Below are 24,430 nucleotides of genomic sequence, written 5' to 3'. Positions count from 1 at the left end.
GGGAGTGGAATGACAGTGAGGAATACTAGAAACAAAGACCAGAAGAAAAACCACTTGGGCAGGCAGATTTATGAGCTGTCATTTGTTGCCAAGAATTCAATCTCAACAGCAGTCATCAGAAAAGCTTCCCTTTTTCTCCGAAGATGGTCAGTTGGAGTCCTCATGCCTCCATCTGCTGCTCCTCCAGGTCTCTAGCAATTTATAAATCTTCATTCATTAAATCCCCACAAAACTTTTTTCCTATTTAATATTGTAGAGGAAAATATTACTTTAAAAAGTGAATATTGGGGTTCAAGGCTATTAACTTCAAAATGATTTTATATCGCAAGACAGAAAGGACATCATTAATGCAGAGAAGAACGAGCAGGGAGGTACACTGACAACACGCCTCGGCAACAAATTGTATTGCTGGGCCTTGGCTGCCAACTATTTTGACCCCTGATCAGGGTTGGGCAAACAGCTGAGCTCAATGTAAGTAGGAGTGGAAAGTCGTGTTCAGACTTAGTGCTGATTCAGCAGGCAGGAAGGCTGGGGTAAGGGAGGACAGGTGGTCTATAAACAGCAGTCGGTCTCAAAAAATCTATTTATAAGACGGAAGATTAGGGAAACAATTTGCCTGCTTTGAAAGCAAGTGGCAGATGCACACGGTGGGGCCTCCTTTCCAGCATGCTGCAGCCTCATGACAAACGGTGCTTCTGATTCTGGTGACATTGACAATCCTTCACCAGATGCTAGGACAGAAGAAAAACAAGGGGCAAGGCACCAGCCTGAGAAAAGCTGCTTTTCTATTGCTGAAGTGCTTTGATACAGATTACACAGACCACTCAAAATGAAGCGGTGAATGACTCTCTGCAGAGGATTTCGGAATTTTCTGATTCACCGCAACAAACATGACCTGCTCTAAGTCAGGTTTGGCACCATGAAATACTGCAGTATTTTTTCACTTAGGTGCTAAGCCTTCTACGTCAATTTCACCTGAGTTTGAAGATGAAATCTTACCAGAAAATGAAAACTATTGACCTTTACTGAACCGTGGTATCAGCAGGATACCGTAAGATCCCGGCAGCTTCTTACCTTGTTGTGGCTATCTTTTCTCCCTTTTTCCAGTCCCAAAATACAATACTGTGAAAATCGTCTAAACCAACCGACACCAGACATTTTCCATCGGCTGTATGAAAACAACACAAATGTCAAAATTTCTTCCATGAAAAAACAAAACATTTCATACACTGTAAAGAGGAATAAGTAACTGATCTTAAGAACTGATAAATATTTGAGGTGATGGATGTGATAGCTGCCCTGACTTGATTATACAATGTATACATGTACTGAAACATCACACTATACTCTATAAACATGTACAATTATATTTTAATACATAAGGGGTATCATATACTAAATGGACCTCGCTGAATGAAATGCATGACTAGAGATAGCCGAGCTTCCTAATGCATAACGGGCTGCCGAAGTAAACTGCCGACCTGACATTCTGAGACACAGAGCTAGAGGGAGACTCTCAGGTAAGCTACAAAAACTATGTCTATTTTGTGACAAACAAATCTCATGACATTTAACTTGAGGTACCACTTGGCTTTGTGATCCTGAGACCATTTTCAGCTCTAAAAACTGGGTTCAGTTAATTCTCCAAATTAGGAACATTATAGAAACTAAATTTAACTTAAAAAATTCTTTCAAAAGATGATTTTACAATTTAAAAATTTTATGTTCCCTATTTCAAATGTAGTGTACTTGTTATAGGAAATTTAGAAAATATGGATACAGAAAATTTTTAAATCTTCCCAATTTCTAGGCTAACATTTGATATATATCCTACCAATCTTTACACAAATGTGCTTAGAAAAAACAATACCAGAATAATAATGAACAGGTTATCTTATCTTTCTTCATCTATTATATCATGAACATTTTCCTTTAGTATTAAATATTACTTATAATTGTTTAGAAAAGTGGCAAGAATAGATTACTGTAAATCCCTATGTATAACTGCTTATTGTCTAGTTTTCACATCGCTTGTCTGCTTTACATTTCCAGGACAATTTATTTCTCTAAGAGAATAATAATTATCCATGATTACTATAATTTGGACATTTAGGTTATTTTCCCAAAAATTGTTTTAAAAATATACTGAATGCACAATTAAATTTCAAATAAAAACACTTAATTTGCTTTTTCCCTTCAAGACAAAAGAAGAGGTATAGTCAAAAAGCCTTTCCTTTGCTGCCTTCCTGCAAGGCTAGATTCAACACAGAACCATCTCTGGGTCAGCAGTCTCCCTTCCACTAGCTGTGCGGTTGCTAGGAGACGAGTGATCAAGCTCATCCTGCATCAGTATATCAGGGCTCTTCTCTGACTACCAAGGGCCAGCCATGAGGGTAAATAAAGCAACACAGGTCTGTGATAAATTGCCTCTTCCAGTTCTGCCAGTCCACTCGGAGGTCCCAACCGGTATTTTCAAAGGCAGACCTGCAGTATACCCCAAATTAGGGTTGCCAGATAAAATATAGAAAACCTTGTTAAACTGGCATTTCAGGTAAGCAGTAACTAATTTCTTAGTACAAGTATGTCCCATGCAATATTTATATGTATATTACATATTTATCCTTATTTTGCATGGAATACACTTATGACAAAAATTATTTACCTGAAACTCAAATTTAATTGAGCTTCCTAAAATTTTGTTGGCTTAATCTGGCAACCCCATCTCAATTGCTAACCAATGCCCATGCTTTGAGGGCCCTTGCTTATGCAAGAGACCCTCCTCCAACCAACTGGAAATGGTAGTCTCCTCCTTTTCTGGATGAAGGAGAGTCAGAGAAAGAAAAAGTCTGGTTTAACAAACCAAATCCTCTCCAACCCTCCATCACTACGAAGTATGAGGCAAGGATTTGAAAGTTACCTGACCCTTTCAAGCTACTAGGCTGTAGTATTAGATGAAGACGTTAACACTTTCCTTAAGGGCTAAATCATCACCAGGTGATTATTATAAACTACGTCTTTCAAAAACAACTAATGATATCCCCTTATGCTTAAATGTTACCAGGCTTTAAATTGGGCAAGGTCCCTCTTTAGCATTTAGGAGAAGGAATTGGTAATGACTTCCTATTCATTACCAACATTACTTTTTCCACATCTCTTGATATGGTCTGGTTGTTTCTATGTTGGCATGCCTCTGCACTTGATTTTATTTTTATTGGTGTTTTCTCTCTCCTTTTTTAATATCATAAGCTTTTTTTTAAGACTTTTAATAATCTTATCACATTTCCTTTGTAAGTATCACACTAATCAAGTTTTCAATGAATGTTGATGATACTGGTGACACTGATGATGAGGAAGAAGATAAAGACAGAATATGCCTGTGGATGGTATAAATTGAAATAGAATGTACTACGTTATATAGCTATAAAGATTTTGGCCAGGTGCAGTGGCCCACATCTGTAATCCCAACACTTTGGGAGGCTGAGGCAGGTGAATCCCTTGAGCCCAGGAGTTGGTGATCAGCCTGGGCAACATGAGGAAACCCACTCTCTACAAAAATACAAAAAAATTAGCTAAGCATGGTAGTGTGCATCTGTAGTCCCAGATACTTGGGAGGCTGAGTTGGGAGGATCGATTGAGCTCAGGAGGTCCAGGCTGCAGTGAGCCATGATCATGCCACTGCACTCCAGCCTGGGTGACACAGTGAGACCTTGTCTCAAAAAAAAAAAAAAATTTTTTTTTGGATGATGAGTCAAGAGTGAGTACAAAGCTACAGTTAGGAAGAGTAAGTTCTGGTGTTATATTACATATTAAGGTGACTATAGCTAATAATGTAGTGTATATTTCAAAATAGCTAGAAAAGAAGATCTTGAATGTTATCACCACAAAGAAATGATAAATGTTTGAGGTGATGGATGTGATAGCTACTCTGATTTGATCCTTACACAATATATACATGTACTGAAATGTCACATTCTACCCTGTAAACATTTGCAATTATGTGTTAATTATAAACAGATTTTTAAAGAAATTGTCCATTTCAAAAACACTGTACAAATATTCAATGTCTTGTTGCATTCATTGACTATATTTCATGTTTTCTTTTGAAATCTGTGTAGTTATGTTCTTCTTGGAATGCAAGCACAAATACATTTAAAATAATAAAGTTTTATGTCATCTGAAGAAGGCCTAAGGATAAGCTGATTTTGCCGGGGTAAGAGGTGAGCTTTTATTTTAGGAGAATTTCTGCAAGGCCCTGTCAGCTTATCCTCACTGTTATACCACCTTTCTAAACCAAAAAAAGGTATTCTGATTGTGGGTAGCAATGGAAGCAGCAGTGCAAACCCAGAGGTGCCTCAACAGCCATACCTCTTTTTTGGGATGGTGACTTCCCCGAGTTCTGCGGGTGTGGGCTATTTCTGTGTATATACTACACAGTTTGGAAATAAAATTGGCTACCTTTTTACTCTTTCCCAGTTCTCACTTTCCCTGTAAGCCGTGGTCTTAGCTTTGGAAATCTACTCTCTGACCAGTTAGTTGAAGTTTTTTATTTTTAGCCATGTTTTTAGTCTCTTAGGTAATGTCCTTTCCCATCTTTGCAGTCACAGCATGCATTAATTATGGATGTCTGTGACATAGTCCAGAAATAATATGAAGGCATTTAATGTCAGTAGTAAAGGGTGAATTAGACAAAGTTTTATTCAGACAATTATGAGTTGGTCTCTCTATTCAGGACTCATAAAAAATGCGTAGGTTTTCTACTGAACACAATGAAATCAAGTCTTAGATGTGCCCTTATGGAAATCAGTATTATTCTACGAAGCTTTTAAAAAAATTATATGGTTGATATTTAGGCTAGAAAATACTTCTGTGGTTGACCTTTTCTATTTCTAATCTGGTTTTCTATTCATATGGAAGCACTTTCCTCACGGCAAGCACAAAACAAAAATGGTTCCCCTTCCCCTAGACAGTAATAAATACTGAGTTAAAAGAGGTTCTCAACTGAGATAATATAAATTCATTCCTTCTTGTCCTTGTAGCCCAGTTACAGATTTTGCCCAAGAAATGTTTTTGACTAAAAATGTCTTTTGTTTGCTTTCGAAAAGTGGCAAGAACAATCTAAATCCTCACACATAACTGTGCTTATTTGTTATCTAGTTTTCACATTGTTTGCCTGCTTTATATTTCCAGGACAATTTATTCTCTAGTAAGAGACAAGCACGCTATCAGTAGGTGTCCATAAAACCCCCCAAAAGAGCTAACTCCTAAGAGATGGGCAGCGACAGGAGTCCTGAGGCACACAGATGGAGCACTAGCTAAATCGTAACTGTTGAGTGTCACGTCAGTGCCCTGTTTACACCGTTAAACAAGGAGGTCTACGTAGTCTCCTCTTTCAACATTTCTACTTGAGCTACTCACTTTTCTATCAGTTTCCAAAGGATGGTAGCATTAGTTGCCCTTGTTCATACTTCAGGTAAGTGTGTGTTTCTGGGCTGTTTTAGAACGGGATCTCTCTTCACTTGGGGCTGTTCCACATGGGGGCCTCTATGCACTACCATGTCCACTCCACAGTTACAGTGGAGGGTGGGAAGGGCAGATGGACAAGCTTACTGGAGGGCACAGGTAGCAGAAAGTGAGCCTGCACACTGAGTGTCCCAGGTATGACACTCTTGCCAAGTGTACACACTAGCATCGGCAAAGGGAAGCGGCTGGAGGAGGCCTGACACCTAGGAGAACTCCTGGCATGCCTCCTGCCTGCTGACAAACCCAGGCCTGGTGGCTCTCACAATGGACCTGGGTTCTGCCTTTGGATCGGCCACTGTTCACTTTTACCCAGGCCACCCCACCAAACTTCAGGATGTCCATTCTCAGCCTATAAAGTGGTTGCAAGGATTTAAGACTCAAACTATATTATTAAAACATAGACTATCAATAGAAATTAAACCAAACAGGCCTCAGCTCACACTTTCAGGAGTCACCACAGGTCCCCACACCCTCACCCCAACCCCCAGTCAATGACTACAATTCATCTGTATGTAACCATTTATGGTAATGAATCACGTATCAGTCAAAGTTTTTCCACAATAGTCCTTAGTATTAGTACTTTCTAAAACTATCAGATTCCTTTCTACCATTTATATATTGACATACTACTTAACCTGTAAGACAAAAAGGTGAATTTCCATAAGCAAAAACAACACATTTGCTGAAAAATGGGCTCTTTCCCAGTGATTGTTATCTGGGGAATGGAGACTGTATTGTTAAAATACTGAAATACCCTTCTTATGCACAAAACATTTCATATTTGGGAATTTATGTGCCCAAGATGGGAATCAGAAGCAGTTACAGAATCGGGCTCCTCACCTCCTCCAGAGTATCTGATTTCTCTACCCAGGCACTGATCTGAAGGGCTGCCTTATGGGAAAAAGGTTTCTAAGCTCACTTAATTTCTTGTTCTTTCTTCTATAAAACTAATAAGCCCAGAAGAAATGTTAGCTATCTGAAATGAAGAGGCCACATTACTGGGTACCAGCTTATTGCTACCAACTCATCTCATAGTTAATGTCTTTGATCTGCTAATCTCTTCTTCCAAAGGTATTTAAAATAACACGAGCTAATTATTTCGATTTCAAAAAATAGAAAATTAATCAACTCTATAGAGGAAATAACCAAATGATTAAATTCTATTTATATTACTCTAAATTTCTTGCCACTTTATTTATATGCTAATACACATATGCACATTCTCATTTGCAGTCAGTGATAGATGGTATTTTGAGTTCAATTTTTTCTTTTATCTTGATACATTGAAATGTGCATAAAATACAATCTTCATACTTGTCATTTTGAATCACAGCTTTGTTATACATTGCCAGATTGTTTGCTAGAATTGAGTCAATTTTCAGTGCTGCCAAAAGAATGAATATATTGGATTCCCAATAATGTTGTAAACATTTAGCTGTTGTTATTTATTTTTGCTACTTTAACGGGCATTTCACCACTCTTCTAAAGCATATTAATTACTTATATTAAGTATACATATATTTGTCTGCTAGCAAAATTAATTTTAGGAAAAAGGCAGTTTGGCCACTGAGGAGTGGAACTATGGAGAACAAAAAGCAGAAGGAATTCATCCACATCTTTGAAATACAATCGTATTTGAACTAAAATTACAGCTTCTTTTAGGTTTCACTGCTTTATCAGTGACACACAGCACACCTATTTTAAAACTGCATGTCCATCACACTTCCGGGAGTTTGGACTTTGTATTCACTGTTTATTGAGTGAATTACTGACTGTGTTATTCAGCTGGCAGGTGGTATGCGGAGTTCTCTCTCCCTTGACACTTATGCCTTCTCCTACCTCACATGTCACCAGTGTAGAGTATAAACTGTTTAACCTTGATTTTTACCAATTTGATAATCACTGAAGGCACTGAATAACTTCTAATAATGATACAGCAGCTCAGATTTGTAGAGTAATTTACAGTATGTGAGAACATGCCTGTTAGAAAAACTAAAAACTGCCCCATGTTGCATTGGTCAGGCAATGAAGGTAGTTTTCACCCAAACGTGGTTTATAATGTAAAATTCTAGTAGTAATAGGGAAAGGCAAGACAAAGTGCATTAAGCAGAACCTCATTTGTTCATTTAGTCATTCACTTTTTTTAGTAGCTTCTATTTGCACAGCAATATGACATGTGCAGTGGGGACCAGACAGATGGGCTCTACTGCCAAGTAGTTTACTGTGTGTGAAATGCCTGGGAGACGCTGACACAAGTAACTGTGTGCCACATGGAGTGCCACAAGAGCAATGGGTGCCATAAGAGCAATGACAACAAAGGGCTAAGGGATGCACAAAAAAGGACAGGTTATTTCTCCCTGTAAAGTTGGAAGAGAAAACTTCCAGCTTGACCTTAAAGGGCGGGAGGACTTGAAAAGACACATGAGAACAGCATGAGCAAAGAACACAGCCAAAAGAAGGGCAAGAGTGCATGTAGCCTCCACAGTTAGACAGATGTGAAGGAGCACTAATGGGCTGGTGGGTTAAAAATGCTGCTAAGGAAGGTTAAGGCCAGATCATGGAAGGCCATGGATGTCCCAAGGGCTCCACAATGAGTCAGCCAACCAAGGGGAATCCATGTGGTGGCAATGGTAACTATGCTTTTGGGAGACTCCAGAAGAGGGTGGGATGGACTGAGGAAGAGGGGATAGAATTAGAGACCAGCATGACTACCATAGCATAGATGAAAGAGTGAGGGCTTGAACGGGGAGAGGAAGGGACAGGGGAGAACAATCAGGCTTGTGGAGTCATGGAATTTAATAATATTACACGTTATACTTATTAAGCATTTGAATAAAATTTAGAAAAAAATTATAAAATCAGCATTCTGTACAAAGTTTAGAATTCTTTTTCTATTGATCTAATTTCTACAGTTGCAATTATTAAAAATTTCTAGGTAGAAATACTTTTTGTGATAGGCCCTCATTCTCAAATGCCAACTTAAAGAACACTCACTCTAAAGGAACTTAACTTTCATCAGTTATTTTTTATGATACTGTGTTCAAATTTTAAATTAAGGAGATGAAAACTTCAGTTCTATTTTTTCGATATAAAAGTTATTTCCAAAATACCAATGTTGTAAACTGGCCCTCTGCAGATAATTTGCAGCCTTCTCTCTAGTACTTTGTATTTTCAATCAGAAGTGATGTGCTCCCACTTATTTGGAGAGATGAAATTGATGTTCTGAGTCACTGCCAGACATTTGCGACTAAGTCAACAGCAACAGCTGCTCTGGATTTCAAATTGCTCAAGCAAATACAGAACACAGTGTGAGCTCTGGGTAGTGACTTAGGAGACAGAAAATGAGGAAGATGGGAAGCGGTGTGTAATCTAAAGGCCACATTTTTTGGTGAGGTATTCCTATGTATGATTCTCAGTATAAGAGCGGGTAGCTGGCATACAAAGAGCTTGTACTTCAATACAAACAGAACGACTAAGTGGGAGCATGTTTAAATACACACACACGCGTGCGCGCATGCGCGGGGCATACTCTCTCTGTGTCTCTCTCTCTCTCAACGTAGAACCATGTGTCAATCACTCTGGACCTTACCTGAAAAATCAAGTGCACACACTCCTCTCTGATGTTGTCCTTTCAACAGCGACAAACATTTTAGAGTTTGTGTGTCCCACACATGAATAGCAGCATCTCTTCCAACCTTAAATAACAGAATGACTGTTATTAACTACTAACACGTTATACTAACAATGATTTTGTTCCTTAGAGTCCAACACTGCTCAGAAACCAAGATAAACCCATTTGGAGAATAGAAGGACCCTAGGAAATCATCTGCTACAATTCAGTTATTTTTGAGATGAGGAAACTGAGGCACTGTATCTCTAAGAGGCTTGTCCTGGCAATCAGGTAGAGTTCCAACAGAGCCTAACCTGATGCCTGGGCCTTTAAGGCTAATTCAAATGTCCACTGTGCCTTGTTTTTGTCAGTTACTTCTACCATTCCCTCTCCTGCCTTCCCAGCTCGACACAAGATTCTGCTTCTCAGTCAGGGAAGTCACTTGTACATTGTCATGACGCTATCCAGAGTTATTTTACCCATTCTCAGTTACGCTACCCACCAGAAGAAGGCCTGGCCCCGCTTCTCCCCCTGGGAAATAACATTTTCATGGCATAACTATCTTTCAGTAAGGTGGATTATCTTTGCAGGGATACAAGCTTCTATCACACTAATCCCCAACAACAAAGAAAATTATAATAGTAGAGTGGTTTTTCTCACTTGTAATATGTAGTGGGGGGTGGGGAAACCTGTTGGGTGTGATGACTTTAAAAGGAAAAATGGGAGATAAAGCCATAGGCATAAATGAGCAGAATCCAGGCCACTCCTACAGAGGTCTGTGGAGGCCCAGTCTCCTGCAGGTGGCTGCTGGAATACTGTTTGCCACTGGTTTACCTTCCATCAAATACAGTATTGAGTGCAGTAACTCCTTGGGGATTTATGTAAAAAAAAAACACCTCTGGCTTTTACTTAAAAAAAGAGGCTATTAAATACACGTGAATCAAGCACCATCTGTTTATAAGACAGACAAAAAATAAGGGCAAGTGAAAAAGCAAAGCAATGATCAATTACTTGTAAAACCTTATAACATCAGCTAACACAGTAGGTCTCTAATTTTCAGTTGGAGGGACAGCAAATTCATGTATAAACCAACGGTCAGCCCTTACCCTTTGGAGGACTGTAACCCTTTTAAAAAACAATTTAAAAGCTGTGGATCCTTTTTCCCCCAAATATACCTTTTCAGTTGGAGGGCCAGCAAATTCATGTATAAACCAATGGTCAGCCCTTACCCTTTGGAGGACTGCAACCCTTTTAAAAAAAAATTTAAAAGCTATGGATCCTTTTTCCCCCAAATACAACTTTTTAAGGGGTTGACTCCCCTCATGTTCTCATTTTCATTCATAGATTTCATGAACCCCAGGTTATGAACTCTGTCCAAAGGCTTTACCACCTGCAGGTCGAGTCTCAGGAAAAGGGCTTGTCTCATGTTAACCTTTGACATTATACCAAGAATGTTTTCTTAGAATTTGCCACTTAGTTAATACCAGTTGAAGTATTATCTGCAATTAAACACTCATTATAAAAACTGAACAAAAGTATAATCTATACATTTGAGGAAAAGATAAAACTAAAAATACTTTTGACAATATTACTCTTTTGCCAGCAAGGTAATACATCTGTGTTTAATAAAGTCTTTAATAAGTTAATGATTATTTTTCTCTTTACACTCCCAAATGATTGTAGAGGGTCCCTGTTTTAGCAGCTTTTTCAATTACAGACTCAATCTAAGGTTAAGGCATTTCAAAAAAAAGTTCAGATAAAATTCAAGGTGTTTTTATAAGGCTAAAATACAAATTAGTCAAAAGTCTTATGGTTTTCAGTCTTACAAATATAATTATACTCTAGATGTTATAGTATTTTTAAATGGTTCATTCAATAAATATTTATTGAGTACCTAGGATATACTAAATCCTGGGCATACAGCGAGGAAGTATATAAAGCTGCTCCTTGACAAAACTTTCACCATTTTAGTTTTAGCTGGTCCCATTCATAGATCTCATCATTCCAGGAAAAGAACTCCTCAGAGGTCTCCCAATAATGCTAAAATGCTTTGCTTGATTCTCCCATGATCTTGGAAGGATCCAATGATCATTCAATCTTCACCTTCCCATCTCATGTTTATTTCTACCAAGCATTTCTTGAATTTCTAATATGTAAACTGAATTCAAAAATTAAATTCTCTTTTTGGCTAGGCCCTAGTTTACAGGAGATAGATACCTGCCCAGTAGCCACATAGTCCTTCACTGGATGGATGGTCAGGCTGAGAATGTCGTCATCGTGCCCCAGGTACAGCCTCTGGGAGTGCTGCTGCCGATTATACACGACAGCAACTGCAGCAATGTGGTAGACTACTTCTCCAGCTTGTGTGTAGAACAGATTGTTTCTACAGTCGTAGCCTCTATAACTGAAGCACAGGTCCAAGAAATGCATAGTGGTTGAACAAACAGCAAATGCATGGAGCAGGAGGTGTCAGAGGCAAGGCTAACATATTGACGTGAACATGTACAAGTGGAACCCCAGGTGTCACATAGGACAGCAATGTTTAAATGAGGATATGTGGCCGTCTGAGGGCATGAGATGACTCTCAAAAAGGCACATGGGCACTGAACATTGTAACAGAATCTGTTAGCAGATCCTCAGCTGTTGTGTGCGCTTTTTCTTAAAAACGATCATCTGAGAACACATCTGTGATGAGGCACAGGTATTCCTTTCCCATCTCCCCTCTCATAAATGCCTTCCGCCCACTGCAGAAAGCCATTCCTCTCCTCCATCTGGAATCCTATTACACTGTATTACTCCGGGACACAGACCCTTCCAGGGGCACCAAAACAAAGGAACAATTCAAAATACAAGTATGCATGTTGAAAGAAAACAACTCTAATGACTGGCTAAGGAATCCTGCAAATCAAGTGATTTCCAATTCTTTGCTTTCAACAAAATTGTACAGAGACTTAATGGAATTACCAGCTGAAAGATTATTTTTTGTGATATATCAAAATCAAATATGACTTTTTTGGCCTATCACAGGAGTCTGAAGAATTGAATAACATTGCTATAAAATGGCCTCCATTCTTACCTAATTATTTAAGAGAATAAACTTTCTCACTGCTTACATCTATACAAAAATGAGAACTGAGAATAGACTCAATATTAAACTTTGTTACATTCTAACAGTAAGTAATATAAATGCACAGATCTTGCAACTGAAAACCAATCCATCATATTAAAATAATTTCCAACAAAATTTTTCTGTGCTTAATAATTATATGTCACAATTAGTAATATATTCATGTTGATTTAGTCGACTTTACTAATAACTATAATTCAAATAAACTGTTAATGGAGCAACACTAACAGAAAAATAACATGATCCTCCTAATTAAAAATTTGTTGCCATATTAGAAAAAAAAATTTATTTCAGTAACATTTTAAACCCAAAACACATCTAAGATATTACTATATCAACATGTAATCAATATAAAAACTTATGAGATATCTTACATTCCTCTTTTCATAGTAAGTCTTCAAAATTGGTGTGCATTTTACACATGCAGAACATCTTTTTTCAGAATAGCCGTATTTTAAGTGCTCAGTGACTGTGTGTGGCTAGTGGATATTGTATTGGGCTGAGTTAGAGTCTTAGGACCACAGAAAAATTTTTTTTCTTGCAGAGGGTATGACATGGTGACAAAGGACTCTCAAGCATAAAAAGATTATGTTAGGGTAAAATTTTATGGGAAAATTAGAATGGAAATGTGAACTTAGGTAGAAATATGAATGATGTAAAATAGCTTCCTGTTTTAGAAGGACTTCTTCAGGTATTTTTTTTCCCCTTTTGGGACAGGGCCTCACTGTTAACCAGGCTGGAGTGCACTGGCAAGATCACAGCTCACTGCAGCCTAGACCTCCCCAACTCAGGTGATTCCCCAACCTCAACTTCCCTCCTGGGTAGCTGGGACTAGAGGTACACGCCACCACATCTGGCTAGTTTTTTGTAGAGATGAGATTTCACCATGTCTCGAACTCCTGGGCTCAAGCAATCCACCTGCCTCAGCCTCCCAAAGGGCTGGGATTACAGGTGTGAGCCACTGTGTCTGGTCTCACATATTTTTTAAGTTGATCATAGTGAGAATCAAACATTTATGGCATTTAGGTTCCTTTGCATCCATTTAAAGGACTGATGTATTCATAATACAGATAGTATCTTCTCAGCCATTTAAACCGACATTAAAAAGTTTTAGTTGTCTACTTAAAATATGCAAGGGTGCATATAATTTTACAAAATTCAAAATTATGTTGGGCACATGTGCAGAAAATATTTGAAGAAAATACTGTCCTATGGTGGAGCCAGCAAAACACAGCAGGGGATTAGGGGAAAGGAGAAAGAGGAAGTGAAGATGGTGATGAGAAAGAAGTGCAGCAGCAATGAGCAGCAGCACCCTTTAAGTCATGGAATTATATGAAGTCTGAGAAATCTAGAGACAATCACACTGTGATGGCCACAGAACATCAACGAGGGAAGTGGATAGAGAGTCACACTTAAAATAGCAACCACAGGTACAAGTGCACATTGCAGAGAAGAGCTAGCCAGGAGGAGGACGACACTGAGGGGAGGGGATCCCTTAAGCCTGGTGCTAAGGTTGGTGACAGCCAGGCAGAGACAGAGGAACACATACGGGCGCCCATGACAGGCCACCCACCCGTGTATGAACTGGAGTTTCAAGCTGTCCTCAGGAGCCTTTTCTCGTTTGAGGAAGGGCACTGCGTGGTTTTTCTCTTTACTTTGTTGCTTTAGCTGAGGTAGATCTTCTTTGTAAACCTTAAAGTACAACAGAAACATCTGGGTGAGATGCCTTTCATCAGGTTCCAAAAATATCAGCATCTTGACATTCTTGTAAAATCTTTAATTGCTTCAATAAAATGTCTTTGAAAACTTAAGACATGAGAATGAATATTACTTTTTCCTAATGAATAAAACTAATATGAACTATTTTTTAAATAATTGGGATTTTAAAATAATCTTTCTTGATTTGTTACTGTTTTCTTAATGTCTAGAAAATATATCAGTAAATTTTAAAGGAAATTAAGTATCAGTAAAATATAAATAAAATAGTTTGTTTTATTTCTTCTAAGGCCAGAAATCTCTTACTGATTCTGACAGTTGAAAAATGTGGACCTCATGAGTCATGACAATTTTCTCCTGAAATCCCTCTTTGGAATCACATTCACTTCATAGCTTCATGCATCTTAACAGATCTGAGATACAGAGCAAAGATCAATCTTGGTCTAACTTGGGACCTAAAACGTGCTGCTGATTGTACCATTTAAACGCATATAAAAACCCATCTGTTGTTTACTGTGTATTTATACTTTACTACCAAGAAATGTCCATTTAACAGGTGGAGAATCAAATCCAATCTAGTAATAATTTCTCATCTTCATCAAGTTTTTATTTAATCAAACTCTTTTAAAAATCATAAAATATAAGGCCCCTGTTTAGGATTTGATCAAAAATCATTTGTAAAAGGTCAGAAGAACTCTCACTACTGTTTTGTCTACTACAGATGCAATTAACCAAGCTTCTAGAATCTAAAGATTATTATTCAACTTAATTCATGATGCTTTCATCAGCTCACCAACTATTTACTTTAGAGCAATGAATTCTAGTCTTGATATTTCTATTGTTTAAATGGGTCTCATAACCTCTGTGGGCTTCAAATTCTCATCTGTAAAATTGAGTTAAAAAATCCCTGTTAAGGAATAACTCAGGAATATTGTGAATGTAAATCAAATATCGGTGAAAGCATTGGAAAGTGACATGTCAGGGAGAATATACAGGTTGAGTATTCCTTATCTGAAATGTTTGGGATCAGAAATGTTTTGGATTTCAGATTTTTTTCAGATCTTGGAATATTTGCATTATACTTACTGGTTGAGCATTCCAAATCCAAAACCAAAACACAAAATGCTCCAATGCACATTTCCTTTGAGCATCAAACCAGTACTTACGAAGTTTTGGATTTTGGAGAATTCAGATTTTCACATTAAGGATATTCAAACTGTTTAAGTCGTAGGCATGAATTTTAAGTCTACCTTTTCATTCTTTTATTTATTTTTCTTAGAGACAGGGTCTTGCTCTGTTGCCCAGACTGGAGTACAGTGGCTTGTAGCCCTCAATCTCCTGGGCTCAGGCAATCCTCCCACCTCAGCTTCCTGAGTAGCTGGGACTACAGGCAAATGCCCAGCAGTTTTTTTTTTTTTTTGTAGATACAGAGACTGTGTTAACTAGGCTGGTCTCAAGCTCCTGGTCTCAAGTGATGCTCCCACTTTGTCCTCCCAAAGCATCGGTATTACAGGAATGAGCCACTGTGCCTGGTCCCTTTTCATTCTTCTACTAGCACCATTTTATTAAACAAACACTTCCCAATTAAAGATTTCTTTTCCTAAATTCTGTATTGTGTTTAAATTTTATTGTCTCCTGATACCAGAGTATAATATTGTTTAGTGTTTGCATAATATTTCCACATTAATAATTTCCTTTCAGGCAAGATTGACTACGTTCAGGGTTGTATGGCCACAGACAATAATCTCTTTTCAAGTCCTTTTTAGTAGTCATATTGCATAATACAATGTGTCAATGCACAGTCAAGATGATTTCGTCATGGGGCTGACCCAAACCATTAAACTGTCTTGGTACGAACACAATTTTTCAAACTCTGAATCAATGACTGATGATTATGGGCTGAAAAATATTCCAATTTAATGCTTATATAGAGGCAAACCAAGTAGTGCATAGAATGTGCACTTTGGAGATAAGCCTAGGTAAGCATTGTTATCCTAATACGACAAGCAACGTGGACATGGGCAAGTTACTTTACTTCTTTCAACACATGGTAGCTGCCATAGGCCTATATCTTAAATCTCTATTGGCGACACTTACAGTTCATGTATCTGAAATTTGAAGTCTTATTCATTCCACATTCATGTACAGAATCTGCTTCACATATCTTTGTTAAGTGACAAGAAAGAAAAAGAGAACCCCCATGGTTATTGCTGTAACAAGGTGGTATGTGTTCAGATTCCGCTGAGGGATTGCTTTAACACTGTTTAGTGCTAAAATGATATGTCAACTTCCAAAAAAACTGAAGTCAGCTGATCAGCTTTCCTACTAGAGGTAATTTCTGACTGGAGAGATTAATACACATTTTATTTGAGCTTTTACTTTAAGTAGATAATTACTTTGATTAAATGGATAATGGTTGCAGTAAGTTAATAGAAAAACCGGGCTAACAAGCTCACATGCAAACCACCATGCCTCAAGGGTATCCATCCTTGTAAAGGAAACACATGCTTTCATAATCTGCTAAGAAAGTGAAAAAAGACCTATGGCTTACTTGCACATTTTTCTTCAAAATATATTTTAAAGTTTTAGGTGCTAGGGAGGCAAAAAGCCCAAATACCAGGGGTTCAGTTTTCAAACTTTGCAATTACTTTCTGCTGAAATAAATTTTAATGGTATGATTGGGTAAACACGTCGGTTTTAACCTGCACTTAAAGGCACAAAGTAGACTATTTTTCTTGTTTTTGCCTCAATTCTCTTTGTCTAAGTGCCAGTCATTTTTAGTGCTATGTCCAAATCCAGGAATGAGATCCCCTTCTGGGGTTACAAATTTTCATTGCTCCCTGCTTACCGACCTGGCGATCATAATTGATTTGAGCTTCTTGCTCAATATCAGAGTCCAGTTCGGGCACATCAGATAAATCTGAATCAGATTCTTCACTGTAGGAATCAGCTCCACCTTCTGCAGAGATACAACCCACAAGAAACAAGCAAAAATTCTGAGACTCTGAGCAACTGAAATTATCTAAAATATTTTTCCTTTTATCCTAGCAAAGTAAATAAAAACTATACCATAGTTTTCATTTAATATAAATTGTTAAAACATCTTTCTTTCACCTTTTGGTTTAGTTCAGCCCACCCTTCACTCCTTTCAGGAACATTAACAGACTAGGCCAACTTCCTTCCCCACACCACCCACCAGGCAGACTAAACTCATTTATACTTTTTTTGAGACAGGGTCTGTCTCCTAGGCTGGAACGCAGTGGCACAATCTCAGCTCACTACAACCTCCTCCTCCGGGGCTCAAGCAATCCTCCCACCTCAGCCTCCTGGCAGCTGGGACTACAGAGATGCGTACCACCATGCCCAGTTAATTTTTAAATTTTATTTGTAGGGACAGGGTTTCACCACATTGCCTAGGTTGGTCATTTACACATTTCTATTAGATAGCAGATACCTGGGTTTTAAGCTTTGTTTTGTAAAATGGGCAGGTTTTAAAAAGTGAAAGGCTAGGGCAAAAATAAACCCAACCATTTACTTCAATACAGATCCTCTTTAGCCTTTTAACCATGCCCACCCAAGTGTTGGTAATTGTCATGGCCCAAACCACCACAGAACTCTTGTCAACATTTATTCAAATAATTTTTCATTTTATCACCTGCTCATGCCTGCTGACATCAGAGATAAATGAAAAGACTACATACATGTCCACTGAATTGGAACACATAGGCCCCAACCGTGAACCACTGCTTGAGCCCCATTCTGAAGGCCACTTACATTTCAAAGGTTACCCTGTTCCCCTGCAGCCTGACTGAACAGACCCACTGCCTGTTACAATTGTCCTAAGGAAGCTGAAATGTATCCTCTCCTGTTATCCCCCAAGGGTTAATTCTTCACGTAAACCTTAGACCTTCAACTTGCATTTGGGAAATCTGCTGATGGTTTTATAGAGGTTTCCTTATGTGTGATGATTCTCTTTTCCCTGACTACTTATAATGCTCTGCCTTTAACTTTTGATCATTTAAGATGTTTCTTGGGGTACATCTTTTTGGATTCATCTTACTCGTGTCCTTTGCGCTTCCTAGATTTGGCTTTATTTTCTTTCCTAGGCTTGGGAATTTTTCTGCCATTATTTCCTTGAACATGTTTTCTGCCCATTTCTCTCTCTTCTCTTTTTGGCATGTTGGTAACACGTAAGTTGTTGGACCACCCTAAGTCTCTAAGCTATCTTTACTCTTTTTCTTTTTGTTTCTCAGATTGGATGGTTCCCAGTAATCTGTCTTTCCAAGTTCACTGTTCCTTTCTTCTGCTTAATCTAGTCTGCTGTTGAACCTCTCTATTGAATTTTTCAGTTCAGTGGCAGTACTCTTCAGAGAAAGTTTTTTTTTTTTTTTTTTTTTTTTTTTAGAGATGGAGTCATGTTATGTCACCCAGGCTGGAGTGCGGTGGCACAATCGTGGCTCACTGCAACCTTCACCTCCCGGTTCAAGCAATTCTCCTGCCTCAGCCTCCCCTGTAGCTGGGATTACAGATGTGCTCCACCTTGCCTGGCTAATTTTTGTATTTTTAGTAGAGACAGGGTGTTTCACCATGTTGGCCAGGCTGGTGTTCAAACTCCTAACCTCAAGTGATCCACCCGCCTTAGCCTCCCAAAGTGCTGGGATTACAGTCATGAGTCAACGTGCTCAGCCAATCCTCAGAGAAAGTATTTCAAAAGTACCAAAACTCATTGAGTAGTTTTAAAAAACACCTTCTATCTCTAAAGTTCTCAATTTGTTCTTATATTGCTCTCTTGACCTCAGTGAGGGTCTTTATGACTATTATTTTGAATTCCCTGTTGGGTAAATCACATATCTCTACTTAACTGGGGTTGCTTTCTGGAGATGTCTTGCTCGTTTATCTGGAATTTCATTTCTTCATTGTCACTGACACTGTGTGTTGGTTTCTGTGCATTAGATTAAAAAAAAAAAAAAAACAAAAAACCTCTCCCTATCTCGTCAGACTGGCCTTGTATAGGAGAAGGATCTCACCAATCTGACTGGCCAATGGTTTTAAGGTGCCTCTCAAATCTGTGTTTGTCCAGACTATTGTCTGTTTTGGTGGCCCCTAGAGCTTAAGATGTGCCATGTCCTGTTGGTACCGCAAGACTGTAAAGGGGGGAAGACATCAAGACACTTTTGATGTAGCTAGAAGGGTTGGAGGGTGGACTATGTGTTTCAATTCCTTCTATCTTCACAGTGAAGCTGAGCACAGTCATTTACCGCTCACTTTTTCTGCACTAAGCCAGGTAGAGAATCTGTGACAAATGCCTGTACTCACATTTAGGCTGTACCCTCTGATCCTGGGGAGATAACTCCTGAAGTGGGCCCATTGTACCTCTACCTCTTCATTTTCTGTGGTTTAAGTCCACTCAGGAATGCGAAGCCCCATCAATTTCCAGAGCTAGTTCATTAAGGAGACAGGTGGGAGCTATAGAAGGTGTGGCACTTGGTGTATGACCAAACTTTTTCCAGTAAGTATGGGTAGGCTTAGATTTATCACTGGGGCGAGCCAGAGCAAAGGCTCATGAAGTGCTGAGCTCTGGCTGCTGGAAGGCTATTATATGTTTGCCCTGTTAGCTCCTTGATGGAAATCATTTGATGGCAGGCCATCAAGTAGCATTGGAAGTGTATGCTGTAAGCCCCTTCTGGAGAAAAAAAATGGGAGCTGCACATTCCCAACCTTTTTCTGCACTGCTCCAAGGGGATGTCACTCCTGTAAGTGTTTGTAAACCCATTTAAGACCACATCTCTGTTCTGTGATATAGGAAGACTAGAATATTCCTAGTCCCTTCTGCTCCCAGAGCAAAGAGGTTTAGGATGGAGTCCTCTGGGAGGTAGCTGTAAAAGTTGGGCATTCAACACATGGCATAAACCCCATCTGGGGAGAAATGAGGAGCTGCATTCTTATAGCACCTTCTCGTCACCACTCCTAAGAGAAGAAGCCGCTGCAAGTGCCTACAAGTCCATATAAAACTGCCACCTTTCTCTATGGTCTAGACAGACATTCATATACTTTGCCCCCTCTGCTCCCCGAAGTGGGAGGTTTAGGATGCATTTCCTTGAGTGGAAGCTATAAAAGTTGGGGAGCTCAATGTGTGGACAAACTCCTTCCAGAGTATATTATTAGATCTGGAGTTACTGATGGGATGAGTCATGGGAGGAGGCTCAGAGGTCTGTTTCTTAGGCTGCCAGCTGGGTTAATGTGTGTCTGCCCCTCTAAATCCCTGTTGCATATTGGTTAGAAGCCAGGCCGCCAAGTAGCCTCCGGAAATGTGTCATAAACCCCTTCTAGGTAGAAACTGGGCTGCATTTTTTAAGCTCCTTCTCAGAACTGCTCCAGGGGATGAAGTCCCTGGAAGGCTTGAGCACTTGTATCAAACCGAGGCTTCTTTCCCATGGTCTAGAGACTCCCAAATGTCTAACTCCCTCTACTCCCAGAGTTGGTGAATTAAGAGCCAGTCCACGGGTAACCTAGAGTTAGGGCACTATGTGTGAGGTCCAAACCATTCTCTCCACAGGGAGAGGTTGGGTGGTGGGGATTCCTGTCCTGATTTCAGGAAGCAGTGCGCAGGGTAGGGTTCCTGCCAGAGTGTGCCTCAGCTTTTCCTACCTACCCAATGTGGATGTTTTCTCAGTTGCCTGGTGGGTAGGAGTTTCTCAACTTGTATGACTTTCTCTCAGAGAGAATGGACCTGCGAATCAATGTGTATTTGGTGTCCATGAGTGGAGGGAGTGTCAGGAGCTTCCTATTCTGACATTGCAGATGTCACGTTGCTGACGTCCTGCTCAACTTGCATTTGGTATAGCAACTTCCTTTGAAGAAAATTATCCAACTGACCCATGTTAATCTTTAAAGTTTCTTCTTATCTTAAAATTTTAAGATTACAGGAATCAATTTTCCAAAATTGCTTAAATCCTTTACCTATAGAATACATGTTAGACCATTCTTTGAAATGCCTATTGAAAAATAAAATGATGTTAAGAAATTATTGCTGGGTTTACCTTGGGGTGCAGTTTCCAGCATGCCGTTGCTGACACCTTCTGGAATAAACCTCCACTGGAAAACTGAGTGATCAGCCCCTCCTGTGCTCAACACCCACTGAAAGTCATGGGACCAGCGGACATTTGTGACATGTGCAGAATGGCCCACATACTTTCTAAATTTGGCTCCTGAAAGAATATTTTTTGAGAGGATTAGTTATGAAAAAAGAAGAGTTCATTAGTTTAAAACAACCCCCCTTCTGTTCATGTTGAAGAGTAAAATCTTTAAATATATCTGAAAACGATGTTCCGTCTTACATATTGTAACAAATAACCAAATGCTTCAAAATATATCTCAATTATTCCAATATGCAGTAAGCTAAAAATAGGTCGTAAAATTTAAGCCCTGTGGCTAAAGACACATCTGAACCTGTTCCAAATAATGCCTACTGCTTCACTGATTCTGAAAATAAATGACAGAGAATGAACATCTTACACATTCTTATTTAAATGAAAGATAAGACAGGCAATCCTGTTTAACAGGGAAACAGAAAATAATTCTATGGAAATAAAATTATTGTTTGGAGTCACGTAGACATAGAGTTTGGAGAATCATTTTTTCCTCCTTAAACTGGTTGCTTTACTCAGTGAACACTAACCCCAGGTAGTGAGTGCAATAGAAAAAGCTACTTGAAGTGATATTTGTGGTTGAACTACAGTAGTAAAGCCTTCAGCATATCAGCATATGCTCAGTACACAGCGGCATCAAGGCACTCGAGTAATAAGCAGGGTCCATCTTACATGGAGGCCTAGAACCCCAAAGTCCATGGTAGATTTCAGGAGGTCAAATACCCCAACCTCTCTTCAAAAACATTTCTATTTCTCACAGTTTCTCTAAATGAAATCCCTTTTATTAGGGTTGGGGGAGGCCATCTGTTCAACTATCACATGTTTAAATTTCAAATGTCCACTGGAGAGGCAATGATTTGTAAGAAGGTGAAAATTACTGCTACATGTCATGCTCATACATTTTTTGAGAGCATGCTCTGACCAGATAAGCCTCATTATATCAGGGGCTCTGAGAAAAATTAGGGGAATTCTGCTGCAGAAGGGAAAGGAAGCATTGGGTCTCAAAAGCAAACTTGCCTACTTCAAAGAGTTACCTAAATCAGTTTCGTAATAAAGTCAAACTGGCTCCAACTAAGGTCAGCTGGAAATGCTGGCTCATGATTGAGTAATTGGGGAGCAGGGTATGCTCTTCCCAACTCTCTTTAGATCTTAAAGTGTTGGCCTCTTCTTTGCTTCCTTGACCTTTATACCTTCCTCACAGATCAATTAGCCTATCTCTTTGCAGAGGTTTAAAAATATGTCCACAAATTCTCTGATACAAAATGAACAGAATATGGCAAAAGTGAAGCTGACATCTAAGAGGAGGTTATAAAAGGTACTGCAGATTCTGCCTTGCTGTCTTTCTTGGATCTCTATATGCCACGTCATAAGCACACTGGAGCAATCTATGGAGAGGCTCACACAGCAGGAACTGAGGCCTCCTGCCAAGAGCCACATGAGTGAGCCATCTTGGAAGAAGCGAATCCTCTGGCCTCAGTCTAGCCTTCACATGACTGCAACCTCATGAGAGACCCTGAACTAGAATCACCCAGCTAAGCTTCTTGGGACTCCTTGACTCCCAGAAACCATGATATAATAAATGTTTGTGCATTTACACTTTTAAGTTTGGAGAATAATTTGTTATGCAGCAATAGATAATTAATATAGCCTTTGTAAGCTGGAACTAGAACCTGCAAAAGCATTAATGTCATTAATACTTAGGCCTTATCTCTCTCATCTTTTCTTTCTGCCCTCTCTCCCCGCTCACTCACTCTGCTCTGGGTACATTGGTCTCTTTGCTATTCCCTAAACATGCTAGGCATTTTCTCTGCTTCTAGGCCTTTGCTGTTTCCTCTGTCTGAAGTGCTCTCTCCCTAGATATCTGAACAGCTGGATCCTTCATTCTCCTTCAGGTTCTAAGTCAAATGAAACCACAACAGCAAGCCCCTCTTTGACCAACTCATTTAGAACACTGCACTGCCCAATTCCAGCATTCTCTGCTCCCACTGTTTGCTTTATTTTTCTTCACAGCACTTCTCACAATCAGATGTTTATATTTTCTTGTATATTAACTGTGGACCTTCAGTAGAACAAAAGCTCCACGAGGGCAGGGATTTGTGCTTGTTTTCATCACTGGCCTATCTCCATCCCGTAGGACAGCATTTAACGAACACTTCTTGAATAAATGAAGGCCACACCTGTCTCTCATAAGGCTTTCCCTGGGACACTGAATGACTCCACCAGACCTCCCTTTGTCCTCTGCACCACAGGAGGGCTCAGGCCTCAGCCCTCATGTCTTCTCTATCAACCTCCTCCCCCATGGCTTTAAAGTGCTGTCAACGTGACTGCCAAGTGCACATCTCCAGCCCTGACATCTCCCTGGAGCACTGACAGCTCTGTGCCACGTCCACCCGGATGCCCAGTACGGGCCCCTAACTTACAACAAGGAAAACAGACCGAGACATTCCTCTTCCCCTTATGTGCACTCCCAGAGACAAATATCTTTTTTCTCATTTTCCCAGCTCTGTAAATGCTGCCACTATTCAACCCACTGCTCAAGTCCCAAACTTAGAAGTCATCCTTGATTACTTTCTTTTCCTCTATTCTCATATCCAGTCCATCTGTAAGACCCTCAGCTCTGCCTTGAAACTGTTTCCTAAGCCCGACCAACCTTTCTGTATCTCTTCCTAGTATCTTTGTCCAAGCCACACCATCTCTTACCTGGACTCCTGCAATAACTTCTCTACTTGAAACCTCCCTTTTCCTAACCATTCCACAAAATATCAAAACAGTCTTAAAAGCTTGGATTGGTCACATCACTCCATGTAAAACCATCCATAGTTTTTCATTGCACTTAGAAGACGACTCTGATTTCTAGTAGTGGCCAGGGGGCCCTTTACGACACAGCCCTGTCACCCTCTCCAATGTCACGGTACGCAACTCTTCCCCTCATGCACTAAGTTCTAGCCACACTGGCCTTCCTGCTTCTGCACTGCATCAAGCTTATCCATGACATATGGAAGGCCAGCACCAGCCCCTCCAAGATCTAAGATCCAAGATTTCTGCAACTCAAGTCTTAACATTCAGGACACTCATCATGGGAGGTGGCTGTTCAAGCTGTCCATAGGCCATGTGTCATAAAATGTACAACACAAGTCCATTTGCTATCAGGACATGGATACTTTTGTGGGTTGCTGAGGTGTAATGCAAAGGAGGAATGGAACGGGTGCACCAGGTGGAACATGGAGAGCCTCTGAGTCTCCCATTGGAGTAGGGGTGCGTACCAAGGCTATTAGGACATGGAAAATTGTCATTGAGCAAGGCCTTGGA

General features: G+C 39.6%; 1 protein-coding gene across 10 annotated transcripts in view; it reads right to left on the bottom strand.

Annotated features, from left to right (window-relative positions):
* Window positions 1-24,430, bottom strand: part of EML6 (EMAP like 6) — a 248,474-nt gene that overhangs the window by 91,311 nt on the left and 132,733 nt on the right. For all 10 annotated transcript variants that reach the window (XR_001738743.2, XM_017004098.3, XM_047444299.1 and 7 more), the window contains 6 exons: window positions 21,014-21,181; window positions 16,826-16,932; window positions 13,831-13,949; window positions 11,348-11,534; window positions 9,110-9,215; window positions 1,075-1,168 (listed from right to left, as the gene is read on the bottom strand). Coding sequence is in view for 9 of the 10 variants with exons in the window: in XM_017004098.3 (XP_016859587.1) it covers window positions 1,075-1,168; window positions 9,110-9,215; window positions 11,348-11,534; window positions 13,831-13,949; window positions 16,826-16,932; window positions 21,014-21,181 (781 nt within the window). In the remaining variant the exon portion in view is untranslated. The remainder of the gene's footprint in view (window positions 1-1,074; window positions 1,169-9,109; window positions 9,216-11,347; window positions 11,535-13,830; window positions 13,950-16,825; window positions 16,933-21,013; window positions 21,182-24,430) is intronic.

The sequence above is a fragment of the Homo sapiens genome, chromosome 2 (genome assembly GCF_000001405.40).
Source record: "Homo sapiens chromosome 2, GRCh38.p14 Primary Assembly".
Taxonomy (NCBI): Eukaryota; Metazoa; Chordata; class Mammalia; order Primates; family Hominidae; genus Homo; species Homo sapiens.
This window is presented reverse-complemented; position numbering and strand designations above follow the sequence as displayed.